Genomic DNA, 17,158 nt, shown 5'->3' with positions numbered 1-17,158 from the left:
AGTGAAAGAAATCTGACCTAAGAGACTCCATCTTGCTTCTAACCTCCAAGCTGCCCTTATTTATTCCTGGGCTTAGGCCAAACTAAATTTGGGATGAATTTATAGTTTAACTTTGAAACATAGATAATAATAGCTCCTCCTTGAGCAAACTTCTCCTTGCCTGGAGACCAGACTTTTGCAAAACTAACAAATTAACCACAAGATTAGAAATTATTATTATTATTATTATTATTATTATTATTATTATTATTATTATTTGAGACAGAGTCTCGCTCTATTGCCCAGGCTGGAGTGCAATGGCATGATCTTGGCTCACTGCAACCTCTGCCTCCCAGGTTCAAGCAATTCTCCTAACTCAGCCTACCGATTAGCTGGGATTATAGGCAAGCACCACCACACCCGGATAATTTTTTTATTTTTAGTAGAGTCAGGGTTTCACCATGTTGGCCAGGCTGGTCTCGAACTCCTGACCTCAGGTGATCCACCCACCTCAGCCTCCCAAAGTGCCAGAAGATTAGAAATTATTATGGCTCAGAAATCATGCAGCCAAAGGCCACAAGATTTCTAACCTCTCCAATTTTTCCTATATATAATAATTCTACTGTAAAACCTAAGATTGATGTTCAAGATATTTTTCAGACCCTGCATTCCCATGGACCAGCTGGTGCCACCCAGACTGGTAAACTGGCTCATCTGGTCTTGTGGACCAGCGCAAGAGGACAGCCTTGACTCCCTGTAATGCCATTCCTAACCCAACGCATGAGTACTTCCCATTCTCCAGCACCCTGTCCACCAAACTACCTTTTAAAAACCATACCCTCTGAATTTTCAGGGAGGCTCATTTGAGGAATAATAAAACCTCCAGTCTACCGCTTAGCCATCTCTATGTGTATTAAGCTCTTTCTCTATTGCAACTGCCCTCCCTTGATAAATCGGCTGTCCCTGGGCAGAGGGCAAGATGAACCTGTCAGGAGGTTATGCCCCCATCAATTCTGCCTTGGCTTTGCCGACTTGCTGTTGCCCCAGATACTTTGAATGTGGGGTCCGTGGCCGCAGTTCCTTGCATTCAGCACTCCATGGCTGCTGCTGCAGCCACATCCACAGGATTCCTTTAACCCACGGCACTGGCTCTGCCCTGCCAAGGTTGCTGCTTCAGATCTGGGCATGAACTCTCATGCCTTCACTTTTTCACATCTCTGGATTGTCCTCATTCACTTTTCCATTTCCATTTACCTTTCTTAACTACAAGGAGTCTTTGCCTATCCTAGTCTATCACAAGTCACTGAGGGGCCCGAAGAGGCAGGCATCTGCCTAAGACATTTTAACATAAATTCTATTGTCACAATGATAATAATTATCATTATTGTTGCTATTATTTGTTTGCTCTTCTAACTCCTCACAGTCTGCCTCAAACAACATGGAGTTAGCTTAGGTGTAGGAAAACAGAGGAACCCACCATACTCCAACTTAACTTCTATAAGGAGAGATGGGGAGCTCAGAAAAAAAACCTAGTGGAGATAGAACTGTTTGTCATGAATGTAAGATGAAAGTTACGCAGTTTCTTTGTTAGGGGGCAACACAGTAGATGTGAAATGTGTTATTTGCCCTTGCCAAAAATCAAGACTATATCTTTTGCAGTCCTTTTAATAAAAAGTACACATTAGCTTTCAAGAAGTACCTCTCCAAATGTTCACGTGCGCACACACGCACACACACACGACATGCACACACCCCAACAGAAATAAAACAGCCCCCGAAGTTAGATACTACAAAATATCTCAAATATCCCCATTTCAATCTTAGCATAAGGATAAGGAACTCAGAGTGGGCTGGAGAATGGGCTTTAAGATATCATTGTCACTGTAAAACTGGCAACACATAATTACAGAGTGAATGTGTCAAAATGTACTGCTTTGATTATGTTATTTCCTCTGCTTGGAAATCCCTTCTTTCTGTCTCCCTGTCCATCCCTGCATATGAACATCTTTCCTATACTAAGGCTGCCCTCAGATGGCCCCCTCTATGCTTTTCCCAGTCATTTAAGTCAAAAAAAAGGATTTTCTCCCTCTTTGAAATGTTTCTTGGGTCTTGCTTTCTTGACCTTTCTGGCTTGTAGGACGTTTTGTTATACAGAAATGATTTCTTCATAATTCTGACTTGTTTGAAATTTAACCCAAGTTCATTTTTTTTTTTTTTTTGAGATGGAGTCTCACTCTGTCGCCCAGGCTGGAGTGCAGTGGCGCGATCTCGGCTCACTGCAAGCTCCACCTCCCGGGTTCATGCCGTTCTCCTGCCTCAGCCTCCCGAGTAGCTGGGACTACAGGTGCCCACCACCATGCCTGGCTAATTTTTTGTATTTTTAGTGGAGATGGGGTTTCACTGTGTTAGCCAGGATGGTCTCAATCTCCTGACCTCGTGATCCGCCTGCCTCGGCCTCCCAAAGTGCTGAGATTACAGGCGTGAGCCATAGCGCCCGGCCCCCAAGTTCATTATTGAACCCTCTCAGCAACCTGAACTATGCTTTGGACCAATAAGTATCCCATGCACATTTGCTAGATTGAGCAGCAAAACCCACCTGACTGCTCACGGTGATAATCACCTGTGCAGTTCTCTGGGTCTTCCCATTCTTCCCCATTCTGGGCACAGAGTAAGATTGCACTTCCTGGCCCTCTTCTTGGTGAGATTTGACCATTTCTGCCATGGAGTTGTGAGTGAAGGAGGCCCCTGATTTTAGGCTGGAGCATTTCATTGCCCTCTCCCCAAGGAACAGGCAGTGTTCCAGAGAGGGGTCGCTCTCCTGACTTGCTTTTCAGAGTGAGGGCAAGGCTGAGATGGGAGCAGAGGTCCCTGCTAACCTGCGATAGATTTAAAGTCTGTGGGAGAAATAAACCTTTGTTGTTTTAAGCCTTCAAGATTCTGGAGTTGTTTGTTACTGGGGCGTAACCCAACCCATCTTGACTAATGTGTTACCTCTGTTTATAGTCTCAGAGATTAGCATTTCCTTCTTGTCAACTTTTTCCTTCTAAGATTCAAATGAGAAGTTGCTAAAATCTGTACAATGTAAATAAATACAGTACAATGGAGGTTGAAGTTCTTAAGAAATTTAAGAAATGCCAGAAACTCATAAAGTGTTTTTTTCCCCATTCCTTTTAGCAGGTTATAAAAAAGAATATTGTCAAATTTAGGCTGACTAGCGTTAGCAAGAAATAAATTAGACTACAGAAATTATGCAACGAAGTCAGTTGGATAAAAAGTACTCAGGTATTCTACACTTTTTTGTCTTTGCCTGGTAAGTCTGTATTGTTCAAGATATTCGGCAATTGAGTAGTCTGTAAGGATTTACATAGTTTCCAAGGAAAATGTAGTGAAGTTTGTTTCTTCCTATAAATTTAAAGACGTGAAATATAAAACTAATTGACATTTATCAAAATTCCATTGAGACCCTAACAGTAGTGTTGACAACAGCATTTGCAGAGACAGTGGGACCTTTGTCATGTCATTGAGGCAGATACTCTATTAAACATTATGCATTTCATCTTGGCTAGTATATGGGAGGCTTACCTGACAGAAATAATTTTTTTTTTCTTTTTCTTTTTCCTTTTTTTTTTTCTTTTTTTTTGAGATAGACTCTCACTCTGTCACCCAGGTTGGAGTGCAGTGGCACAATCTTGGCTCACTGCAGCCTCCATCTCCCAGGTTCAAGCTATTTTCCTGCCTCAGTCTCCCAAGTAGCTGGGTTTACAGGCGTGTGCCACTACACCTGGCCATTTTTTTGTATTTTTAGTAGAGACAGGGTTTCACCATATTGGCCAGGCTGATATCGAACTCCTGACCTCAAATAATCCACCCGCCTCAGTCTCCCAAAGTGCTGGAATTATAGGCGTGAGCCACTGTGCCCAGCCTGACAGCAGTAATTTAAGAAATGAAGGTTGTCATATGGAGGTTGCTGAGGAAAGGTGCCCAGTGAGGGTGCTCAATCAACTGCATGCTTTTTGCCAGTGATTGTGGTTCTCCTGTTCAGCCCACCACCACCGGACTGTCCCTGTATTTAAAATTCCCCCAAAAATACCCTATGTCTCATTTGCTGGCTTTAGGTCTCTTTGGTCTCTTGAACCTGGTGCCATCCCTACTGAAGTGAGCAGGGTTTTGACATGACAGCTAGTGTATTTTCATGTTTGTTGCATGTACTTTCTTATGTTTGTTAAACTGCATTTTTCCTTTATATTCCTAACTCATGGTTCAGTGAATCATGAAGGTCGAGATAAAATAGTAGCAAAATACTAAACTTATAATGTCATAAAGCACCGTGAAGCTTTCTGTGCCTACAGTCCATCTGTCAGTCTGTAAGTATGATAATTTTCTAAGTCAAAAAAATGTAAACTAGTACACGACCACAGTCGAAAACAGTGTGGAGATTCCCTAAAGAACAAAAAGTAGATCTACCATTTGATCCAGCAATCCCACTTCTGGGTATCTCCCCAGAGGAAAAGAAGTCATTATACAAAAAAGATACCTGCACATGCATATTTATAGCAGCACAATTTGCAATTGCAAAAATATGGAACCAGCCCAAATACTTATCAATCAATTAGTCGATAAAGAAAATGTGGTATGTGTATGTGTGTGTGTGTGTGTGTGTGTATACGTATATATGTATATGTGTATATATATATATATATGTATATATATACACCATGAAATACTACTCAGTCATAAAAAGGAACAAAATAATGGCATTTGCAGCAACCCGGATAGAATTGGAGACCATTATGCTATGTGAAGTAACTTAAGAATGGAAAACCAGACATTTTATGTTCTCACTCTTAAGTGGGAGCTAAGCTATGAGGACCCAAAAGCATAAGAATGACACAGTAGACTTTGGGGACTCGGGGGATAGGGTGGAAGGGGGTTAAAGGATAAAAGACTACACATTGGGTACAGTGGATACTGCTTAGGGTGATGGGTATACCAAAATTTCAGAAATTACCACTAAAGAACTTATTCTTCTAACCAAACACCATCTGTTCCCCCAAAACCTATTGAAATAAAAATTTAGAAAAATTTTAAATGTCCCCCATGCCAAAAAAAAAAGTGTGTATAGGAGATAAGACACAAATATCTGAAGATTTGATATTTTGGGTCTGGATTCCTCATGACAATGCATTGATCTTTATGAAAGTTTATCAATTCATTAAACTTCTACCACTACTGGTACACCAATCAAGATCTTATTTTTTAACAGAACAAATGCAAAGTAATACTGTGCAAAATTTGAAATAAATGAGTTTTTAAAAGAAGATAAATAACCCAAGTTATACATTTTGTAGCAGAAAGAGACATAAGTAATATAACAGAGACCTATGAAACCAAACTCAAAGTTTTTTGCAAAATTTCTCAGGGAGAAAGAACAATTGGTCTTTAGTTAAAATTCCTTTCCTTATTGTTGGATATCATGTAACATTAAAAGCACACAATGTGGAAGAGCACAGCAATAGGGTGTTAGCTGATTCTGTTTCATGCTTGGATCAGCTCATCATATGCTGGTGGAACATATGAGCGGTCAACAGAGAATCCACGCCACATAAGAAGATGTTCCGTTATTGTTATTTGTTTAATTAGTGTTTATTTTTTAATAGAGGATATGGGCTGAGAAAGTACACTGGGGTCAGGTCCAGCGGGGACTCATGATGACTGGTATGAAAAGGGAGGATTTTACTTAAATGCCAGATCACATGCTGCTTTATTTTGCAGAGCAATTGCTGATTAACAATATGCCTCCTGCCCTTGATGTATTATTTCTTGTTCAAGGAAATAGTGAAAGTTGTGAACATAACTAAATCATGTCCACCAACATGTTGTGGTCTGCTATTTTTAGCAAAACAGGTGGAGGGGCAGAGGATTGATCGAGCACCCTGATTTTCAGCACTGAGCATGATGACCCTTGAAGGGAAAGGCACTTACCATGGTTTTGATGTTACAGATGGGTAAAACTGTTTTCTTTTAGTTATTGATAATATCAGTAGCATGATCAAATGACATATTTTTGAGACACAATGAGTACCTTGACAGACAGGTATTATGGTTTTTCTTCTGTTAAGGATAGTGCATTATCTGTGATGAAGTCTAGCTGAGTACAACAGAAAAACATCAAATAATAGTTACTTAAAAAACAGATTTTCATTATTTGTTCCATGAAAGGAGTCCATGGTTCCACGAAATCATGAGCTATCCAGATTATTTAGATAATTCATCTTCCCCATGCTAGATAGTTCTAGGTTGTGAGTGTGGGCTGCATCCTAATGGCCCATGATGACTACTGGAACCCCAGCCATCAAATCCTCTGCAGCTAGAGGAAGCACTCAGAAGAAAGCATGCATCCTCCACAGCACTTCGGAGAGCACTGTAAGCAAGCAGCTGACCTGATTCACGTGGCCACTGCTAATAGCCAGGGAGAATCAGCAAAGGCTCGGTCTTTTTTTTATCTTGGAGGCCATACGCTTACCTAGAAGTTGGGGATTTTTTATTAAGAAGAGAAATATGGGTATTGAGAGCAACTGGATGTTTTAAAATGTAGGTTTTATTATTATTCAGGTATGGTGAAACCAACAGATCAGGAGAGGGCTACCTTTGAAAAGTTAGCTGTTACAGTTCCTAAGAGGAGGAGGCATGCAATGCCAGGTGGGGCCACCCGGGGAAGTACAAGGCTCAGTGAGGAGGCTGAGAGAGGAGGGGAGAAACCTGCACAAGAGCCTTTATCATGTGGCTTCTGCAGGAAAGGCAAGGCAAGTCAGGGCAAGCAGGTTTAGGATTGGCTAGCTTGAATAATTTCAGCAGGCTCTGGGACAGGAGGGCTATCTCTGGACATCTGGTGCCTGGCCCTGGAATGATTAGGGAAGGAAGATGGTGGCCTAGATGGTGAGAACCTGAGAGAGAAGGTGGGGGAGGAGGTGGGCGCTAGGTTGGTGGTTTGCATACACGAGGTGTGCTCACAGGGAGTCATTTACTGCTTTTAAAAGTAGGCTAATCTGCATAGGATGCCTCCAGGGTCATCCAGATATCAAAGCATCAGAAATACAGAAAATAAAAAAGCATGATTAGTAAACTGCCAATCTCTGTCTTAGATAGGACATCAAGATTTCATGAGAAGGTAAAATGGTTCAATCATCAGCATTTCCCTAATATTTTACGATTTTTCCAAATTTGTTAGAGAAATGAAACAATGCCATATTGTGAATAATTTAAGAGTGTATCCAAACGCTGAAAAAAAGAGCATGAGGAGACACTTTCTAAAGCCAAATGAAATAAGTGACTAGAGTAAGAATCCATTTGCTGCCATCTTTTCGTTGAAATTTTAACCTCTGGCTTTTGGGTATGTCATGCTCTTTGGCTACCATTAGGTAAACACTGAAAACAGGGTCCACTGAGAGGTCTTTCCCCCTTTCTGGGTCCATTTTTAATCATAGTGCCCAGAACTGCCTGCCAAAATAATCAACCACTGACTGTCACTCATAATGAGCCATTCTTCCTTTGACTTAGGAGCTTCTAATTTGGTAGGCATATATTAATAGGACCAATAAAAGACTGTGACTAGGCAATGAGATGTGACAACCTTATGAAAAGATGAGAGCACATGCTAGTGTCTGGGGACACTGCTACCCCCAAGCATACGACATTTTCCCGTGGGGTCTGTTCAATTGTCCCATGGTTGAGAGACCACAAGGGCATCCAGGTCCCGAGACCTCTGTTTAGGGGGCCTTTAAGTGTCCAGACTGTTGCATGGTACGAGTGGAGGAAGGCAGCACACCACATCCAAGGATGCATATTTCACTGTCCCTCCCAGTGGTACCCTGCTCCCTTGCAGTCAGTATGTTCTAGAGGACAGCTCCTACTGGGTCACAAACCGAAAGGTGCGCAGTTTTTCAACTGCATCCTGTGACTTGAAATGGGGTGTAGCAGGACTATTTCCACCTTGGCCAATGCTACAAATCAGGGTTCCCCTTTTCTTCTCTGGAGAACTGGTTGTTAAGATTTCACCAGCACACCATTGCTTGCAATGCACAAAGCATGTAACTCCTCCCCTTTGAGATGCCGTCATTCTTCATATCCTTCCTCTCCTGGTTCGGTGCTATCCATCTTCATCGTCCTCTCACAAGAACCTTCCTTGCAGATCTCCCAGCTTCTCAGTTACCAGCTGATTGTTAAATTCATCCTTAGGAATTATATTTGAAGAGTTTTAAAGAATTATAACCTGGAAAAAATGTGGTAAAAATTTGTGCTGCATTTTGGGAACATTTTTGGAAGCATTAAAAAAAAATTATAACCCTGTTGGCCCAGCATCCACTTTAGGCATATCTGAAACTAATGTGAAATATAAAAGAAATAATCTTACACTCAGGGATGCTCTTTGTAGCCTTAATTAGTAGAAGAGCGGAAAAAACCTAACAGTAGGATACAGCACAGAGTGGTGAGAAGCGATTGTCAGTATAGCCACCCTGAGGCACTGTCAGTGACTTAATTATCAAAAAAGTTTAAATCAGGTTCACTAAGTCAAGAAAGTGCGTGTTTTATATACTTTAAAAAATGCATTTTAATGGGAATTTTTTTTTCCGGTTAGTGCTCAATTAAGCCAGGAAATTAGATTACTCGGATCCCTCAATTAATTGAAGACTCCTCTAATTGAGATTTTTACAATCACATTTAAAACAAAAAGCCTTGTAGTGTCTTTAGAGTAGGGCTGTTTGTTTCTGCTGCAGGCGATGCAGCCTTTTTAGGTAGATAGAAAATAGCAATGTCAAAAGTCATCGAGAGCTATGATTGGGGGCAGATCCACACCCCAGTTTCCTCAACTGTCACTGGGAATTATGGTAATATCTCTTAAGGTTAAATGAAACCACACACAGGTAAAAGACTTGGCACAGTGTTGTCAATGGTAAACACTCACGTGTAACAGACATGATTATATTCACTCAGTGAGAGCTGTTCCCAGGCAGGATGCACAAGATAGTATCCAGCACCTTGCCTGATTCTAACCTGAGCACTATTTCTTTATGTCTTTATTTATTTTTCTGATTGTAACATCATGCTTTCTAATAATCAACGAGAATTGAAATATGTGGTTTAGAACGACTTTGCTATAGTTTTTCTTCCTTAGGTTACGTTTTCACTGTCTCTGTTCACATTCTCTTTTAAAATCTGCTGTTACTTTCTTTCACCCAGAACTCAAACTGGTGCTAAATATAGGTAATTTGAAATAGCTATTTTTACCCTTTCCTTTAAGGTTCCCTTTCCTTCTGAGTTCTTTGAAAGGAGGTGTGCGGTGGGCTCCTGCCCACTCTTCCTGATGGAGACCCAGGTGGCTCCTCCTGAGGTCAACAGACCTCCTTCCTCCTCCTCCGCTGCGGGACTGGCCAGGGGCTCCTGGTCACCTTGCTGTGGGCCAAGGTCTTCATGATAGGCCCTGTCCTCCCCATGACGCGGCACCTGATGGGTGTGATGCATGACAAGCAGGGGTGCCCTTCTCCTGAAGGCTTGTGCTCAGTTGCATCTGAAAGAAACCCCCAATGACAGTGGCTTGAGCACAGTTTTCCTCTTGAGTCATAAGGAAGTCTGCAGGAAGCATCCAGGGGTCCTCAGGATTTCTCTAGGCTTCTCCATCCTGGTTACTTGCAAATGGCTGCAGCAGCACCAATTGCTATGCCTTATTCTAGGTGGCCAGTGGGAGGAAAGGCAAAGGGGAAAAGAGATCCTGCCAGCCAAGTCAAACTCCTCTGCTTTCTGGAGCTTTCTGGAAGCCCCACCTAACAACCTCCACTCATCCTTCACTGCCCAGCACTGTCTCACAGGGCCACCCACCTACCGGTCTATTTATAAGACTATAAATAATCTTATACTCAGAGATACTCTTTGTAGCCTTAATTTGTAGAGGAATGGGAAGGGAGAGGGTCAGCTGTGAGCTGGGCACATTGCCACAGCTTGTGAAATTGGTATTCTGGCAGGAAAGGGGAAGGGGCCACCACTGCCTTGTCCCTTCATTGTTGACATAATCCCTGACACAACTGTGTGTTTTGATTCCATATCAGACATTATTGAACAATTGGGGCAACTAAAGGAGATTGTTTCATAGAAAGCGTCCTCATTTCCTAGCCTGGCTTGGTTGCTGCCTTTGTCAGAATGTCTCCGTCAACTCTTCATGAAACCCCACCCCATCCACAGAAGGGGGCTTGCCTCTGGACTTCACCCCCTTATTCCCTTACCCTTAGCAGCTGCCCAGTATCTGAAATATTTCCTCCCAAACAGCACTTCTCTACTTTGAGTAATGAACTGGTAACTTTGGAAAAAAAAAAAGATTGTGAACCTTGGGTGGAGATCTATATTACGTGTACTTAATGTTACTTAGTATGTCCAAATGCAGCGCTTGCTGAACTTCTTCAGCTTATAGTTTTATGCAACTTTAACACAAAAACAAAATTCCACAGCAGCTTCAAGTAAAACCGTTCAATCAATTAATATAAAATTAGCATAATTAGTCTAGTGGGAAATAGATATTTTTCCCTCCATGGCTGCTCTTGGTCAAATACAGCACCAATGGGTCTGATTCTGCAATTTTGCGGTGGCTACAGCAGATTATGCTATGTGCTAGCTCAATTATTCCAGCATATTTCTGTCTGCAAGTCACTGCAAAAAGCATTATTGCAAAGTGTATCAGATGCCATTTGGGCCCCATCTCTTTCTCACTCATGATAAAGAAAGTTAGTTTTCCTTGGTTCAAACGGTATCATAGCTACAAGGAAGCTTCAAGGTGGGATGCCACATTAGGTGATCCTCCAGTCCTGGCCAACTGTGCTCAACTCCTTCTGTCTTCCCTCCATTTCCCCACCAAAATTTCCCCTAGGCACTACCCAACATTAGAAACTTCCTAAGTACATGAAAACCTGGGAAAATTTAACTCTTGGTTTGATTAGGCTCTCAGTTAAGACCATCATCTACCAAGAATGGGGATGAAGTAGAGAAGCAGGGGAGTGGGGGAGGCCTTAGAGATTAGCAGCTACATGTCACTCATATTTTTGAGAATGAGACAACTCAATTGGGATATCCCAGTGCCTTGGGCCTTGGACATTAATTTAGCATCTGTGATGGTTAATACTGAGAGTCAACTTCATTGGATTGAAAGATACAAAATATTGGTCCTGGGTGTGTCTGTGAGGGTGTTGCCAAAAGAGATTAACATTTGAGTTAGTGGGCTGGGAAAGGCAGACCCACCCTTAATCTGGGTGGGCACCATCTAATCAGCTGCCAGCAAGGCTAGAATATAAGTGGGCAGAAAAACTTGAAAAGAGAGACTGGCCTAGCCTTCTAGCCTGCATCTTTCTCCTGTGCTGGGTGCTTCCTGCACTTGAACATTGGACTTCAAGTTCTTTGGTTTTGGAACTCAGACTGGCTCTCCTTGCTCCTCAGCCTGTAGATAGTCTATTGTGGGATCTTGAGATCATGTGACTTAATAATTAATAAACTCCCCTTTATATTATATATATATATATATATATATATATATATATATATATTCCATTTGTTCTGTCCCTGTATAAACCCTAACTGATTCATCATCTTAATTGTGTATGAAGTATGAGCAAAGCATGGCATAAGTGATCTGAGAAGGAAAAAAAGCCTATTCACTTATCAAGAGTGAAGTCTCAGGAGAGTTTAAGAGAGTTTAGCACACTGGAAAATCTGACCCTATGTATGGCAGTAAGGAACTTATCAGTCTCTTAGTAGAAGTACATTTTTACTATTTTGCTATATAATTTAACACCAAAATTTATTGACTCAAGTGGAGAAAATAATGGCCACACAGCATCCCAGCATTCTATCTGGGTTTATAGTCTCCATTAAGCAGCAACAGGGGACAGCAGGGGAAATGTTGTAGGTGTTGTTTCAGAATTATCTGTGCCATTTTTTGGTCAAATTGAATAGATTCCATTTGAATTCTGGTAGGAATCAAACTTCTCTCATCCTCCAGGAAGAAATGAGACTCTAGCTGAGGATCACTGGACCCATGAGTGCCATGAGCCACAAGGCACTGTTTAGGCCTTGGCTGCCCCACTTCATGTAACTGTAATGTGGAGTTGTTCTTGCCTTTAAATGTGACTTGGATGAATTCCTTCTCCTGGCCTCTCCTCTGCTCATTAAATGTAACTAACTCTGCCTAGTGTCAGAAAACAATTCTGGAAGTAAGTCTGAAAATAGTTCTGAAGAACTGAACTTCCTTATCATACCAGTCAGCATAGCCTATGTTATATGGTGATAACAAACAGCCCCAAATATCAGTGCCTAAAAACAACAAAATTTCATTTCTTGTCCTGCTGCTTTTCCTCTGTTCCTTAGCTGGGGCACTCCTCCAACAGGATCTAAGATGCTAATGTAGCCTTTATTCTCTGGAATGAAATGACACACATTGTTTCTGTCCATAAGTAATTGGCCAGAATTAGTCACATGTCTTTGCCCAAGCTCAAAAGAGCCAGAAAATACAGTCCCACCATGTTCCTAGAGGGAGGAAGCCAGTGAAGAAGGAAATAGCTATGATTAGCACTAATGATCACCCAAACATCCAGCATTCTAGCTGGGTACAGGGTCTCCATTGAAAGTCAGTGAAAATACAATGGGAAACTGGAATTAATCCTTCTATTGGTGGATTCTATCCTCATAGAATTCATAGTTTTTACTGAGAATATGCACTTTCAAAGGAGGACAAAAAAGCCTCTCTACTGAGAGTAGAAAATGAGACCATGTACCATTTGGGTAAGATGCTGTCTGCATAGCCAATCACCCCTGCCATTTTGGTCTACATTCACCAGTTATTTTGTTCAATTATGTTCAATTTCATGCAGCATGCAACTGGCTGTGTATTTAGATAAGATCATAATCAAAGTCTCATCAGAAGAGCTTGCTGAAGGAAGTCCCATTGCATAAGATTTTGGAGGCAGAAATATCCCTATATGAGTTAGATAGAGGAAAGATATTTTAATTTCCTGTTAATAAAAGCACCAGCTAAGGTGGGAAAGGTGAGGCAAAGGTAGGTGGTTTTAATGAGGTCCCAGGGTGCATCCAAGGCTGGAGCAGCATCCAGGCGGAGAGTGAATTCTAGATATTGGAACTTGTTGCCATGGTGATTGGTTGGAGGAAGGGGGGACCATTTTTAAGAAAAAGAATTCTAGATCATCTGAATGAAAAGAGACTTACTTAGCCTCCACATCGTCTAACTCTATGGGGAAACATAATTAGATGGCATTTGAAATTATGTACATCATATCTACTTTATTATGCAGTATCAAGAAAAAAACATGAATGCAGTTAGCAGCCATGGAAACCCTGGCAAAATTTGACAATACTTGTATTTCTACCTCTTGCAACCTCCAAAACAAACAAACAAAAAAATAAAAAGTGGGAAATGGAAACCAGTCAGAAATCAAGTACAGAAAAAAGAAACTTGATTTAAAAAGAGAATGGTACTAGTGATACATTGTATTGCATACAGTCATCCTCTGCAAGCTGCAAAAACACGCTTAACCATGGCAATAGTACCCACACTTCTTCATAAATGCAAGTTCCACCTATGTGGAAAAAACAGGTAGATAGGTGCACCAAAATACCAAAATAATCCGCCCAGTTTGAAAGATATTAATGACATGGTGGACTGATAGCACCATGAATATCTGACTGGAAATTCCTTATTAATATTAGTTTCTTATAGAATGTAGTCAATAAATGTAATAGGAATTGGTGAGCTCCTTGAGAAATATGATATGGCTGCAAAGGTGAAAAGCAAGCTTCAGCTATAGTAGTTAGGAAGTTTCAATGGCAAGTGAAAACGACCTTTGAGTTTTATAGAAAATGAATTTTTCTTTTTACATCACTCAAAATGAGTATCTTCACTTTCTATTTCAAAGAAGTTGTAGTAAATACAAATAATAATAATAAGGGAATGACAACAGGTAGGCAACAGAGGAACCTAGAGAAAATAGAGAGGAGTTGTTTGTGAACTTTGAATCTTCGCTTCACCAAATTCTGTGGATCTAGTTAAGAAATGGATCTATGGGCATCTGTCCCATTCTACACACAGTTTAGGTGGAGGAACCCCCAGGGTTAGAGTGGATGATGCCCGTGTTATGAATGAAAGGCAAGAAGATTGAGTCTTGGTTGGGCATGGCAACTCATCCCTGTAATCCCAACACTGAGAGGCAGAGGCAGGTGGATAGCTTGAGCTCTGGAGTTTGAGATAAGTCTGGGCAACATAGTCACACTCCATCTCTACAAAAAATGCAAAACTTAGCTGGGCGTGGTGATGCATGCCTGTAGTGTCAGCTACTCAGGAGGCTGAGGTGGGAGGATTGCTTGAGCCAGGGAGGTTGAGGCTGCGGTGAGCTGTGTTCATGCCACTGCACTATAGTCTGGGTGACAAAGTGAGACCCTGTCTCAAAAAAAATAAAAATATAAATAAAAAATAGAAGACTGAATCTGGGCTCCTGTGGTCAGAAGGGATGAAGGAGGGTGCTGGGGGAGGTGGTGGCACTGAGGCATAACCAGGGTGTAAAGGCTAAGAATTACCGTAGTTTCTGGTCCTATAAACAGGGTCCCCGCATGAGCACTGGTGAAGCCCAGCTTAAAAAGGTTGGTGCCATCCAGACTTTGTTTCCAGCCGTTTTAAAAAAATAAGAGCAAAAAGATAAGTCTCATTTATTTCCCCAGGAGAAACCCATCAGATTGAACCTGATGGAGTCAGGATGCATTGAGTAATGAGACCCTCCACAGACCTGAGGCCACCTGCAGGAAAGAAGGCTTACAGTCTCACAAAATATGAGAGCATCTTCTTTGTGTCAAGCTGAGACTGATGGGCTTTTCAGCCTTATTTCTGAAAGCACATATGCAACAATCCCTATTTCAACAAGGAGAAAACTCTTCCCTCTCTTTGTTTCTTTCCCTGTCCTCCCACCAACACCAAACACCTTGTTAGAAGGGAGGGGAAGACCCTCTCTGTAAAGTCTATGGATGCGGATAAAAACCTCATACCTTATGCAGAGGTGCCAACGTGCATCCTAAAACAAAGATATTTCTTTATTGCATCTTTTTGAGTTTACCTTGTGAAGACCTGGTGCCAGCAACATATATGAAATTTTTTATATGCCAAAGAATATGAAATAGACTTCCCCTAAGACCCAGCAATTGCACTTTTGGGAATTATCACAGAGAATTGAAAACTTACTTTTATGCAGACACTTGTACACAAATATACAAAACAGCTCTATTTGTAATAGCCCCACACCGAAAATTACTCAAATGTCCTTCAGGGGATAAATGGTTAAACAAAATGTTCTACTGAGTTGCTGCAAAAGTAATTGCTGTTTTCATGACTTGCAGTGGCAGAAATTGCAATTACTTTTGCACCAACCTAATACATCCATACCATGAAATACTACCCGGCAATAGAAAGAAACAGGTGAATGATACAATAGCTGAGATGGACCTCAAGGAAATTATGCTGCGTGATGAAAGCCAATCTCAAAAGGATATACAGAGGTGATTCCTTTTAGATAACATTCATAACATAACCATGGACATTGAATGACCATGAATAGGTTAGTGGCAGCCCGATATTAGAGATAGGGAGGAGGGGTTGTTGTGACTATCAGATTGAGTAGGTTTTTTGTGGTGGTAGTTACGTTAATCTACACATGTTGATAACATTGCACAAAGCTACACACACACCCAGACTCATGTGCGTGGTGCATATATACTTTGTGAAATCTGAATAAATCCCAAGGATTGTACCAATGTCAACAAGTTTTAGTATTGTATTATAATTGCAAAAGATGGAGGAGCCTGGGTGAAGAGTGTTCAGAATGTCTTGGCATATTTCTTTGCAACTTCCCTTGTATCTATAATTATGTTTTTAAAAAATGTTAAAGGCAGTGTGAAGCTAACTAATCCAATTGCTGCTGCTCATTTGGTGCTATTTTTCTGTGAAGATGTCTGAGGAGCCTCAAATTCCTGTCATTTTAAAACGTAATAGCGATAATATTTTAGAACACCATGTGAATACAGCTATCCCATGTAAATAACATTAAAAGTTACAATAGAAAATTTAACAGATATCCAAATGTTAAACAATCACTATTATTGAAACTATTGGTGAACCACTAGCCCTTGTCCAACAGACTCAGCTTCAAAATGAAATAAAAATTGTGCCCAGTGTACATTAAAATAAGAACATCTATGATTCAAATAATTAAAAATACTTTAGGATGTGATGTGATGTATTGTAAACCTTCTGAAATGTTTCCAACCTTAATTCTTTAAGAACAGTAGTCATAACACTCCGGGGAACTTGACAATACAACTTGGTCCAAATGTGCAGACTGTGTTGTGGGGGGCAATGGGGGGCAGGTGCAGTTTCATGTTTAAGGTTTTTCTGAGGATGTTGGTACCATCTCATTCAATACCAGAGCACAGTGTACGTCCATGAAATATTCTGGGTGTTAATCTACTGAAGAGAGAGAAATGAGTTCAATAACTTTTTAAGAATGCTAGAGACAGAAGCAAAATTTCCCAAGAACCACCATATATCCCAGATACAAAAGAGAAATGAGAATAAAAGTATTATTCCTGCAAAGATAAAACATTACTATTTATCTTTAGTGTTGAAGAACAGAAAGAAGGAAATATAATAATTTACATTTGACTTTGGAAAATGGCAAATTCTTTTTTTACATTCTATTTTTATAGTCTTGCATATTTGACATCTTTAATGGAAATTAATATATTTTACTAATTAAAATGATATGTTTCATTATATAACAGAATTTTATTGATATGCTTGTCTCAGAAAGAAGTTAAAATTTGTTTTGTATTCTGAACTTGTTCCCAAATGATCTACTCTATTTCAGCATTAAAAACTCTTACTTTCCAGAATGATGGAATTCATTAAATTAAGAATTATGCCTCTAGCATGATATAAGCAATTTAGAAAGCTGTAACAAATCAGGAAAAGGCACAAGAGACTCTACGTTATTTTAGATAAAAATTTTCTTTTTGTCTTAGGACTACACTTTGAATCCATGTTCATGAATATTTATTGGTTGATATCTTGATGTGCCACACTGTTCAC

Source organism: Homo sapiens, chromosome 9 (assembly GCF_000001405.40).
Source record: "Homo sapiens chromosome 9, GRCh38.p14 Primary Assembly".
Classification (NCBI taxonomy): Eukaryota; Metazoa; Chordata; class Mammalia; order Primates; family Hominidae; genus Homo; species Homo sapiens.
The sequence above is the reverse complement of the archived record's forward strand: the minus strand, read 5'-3'. Positions refer to the sequence as shown.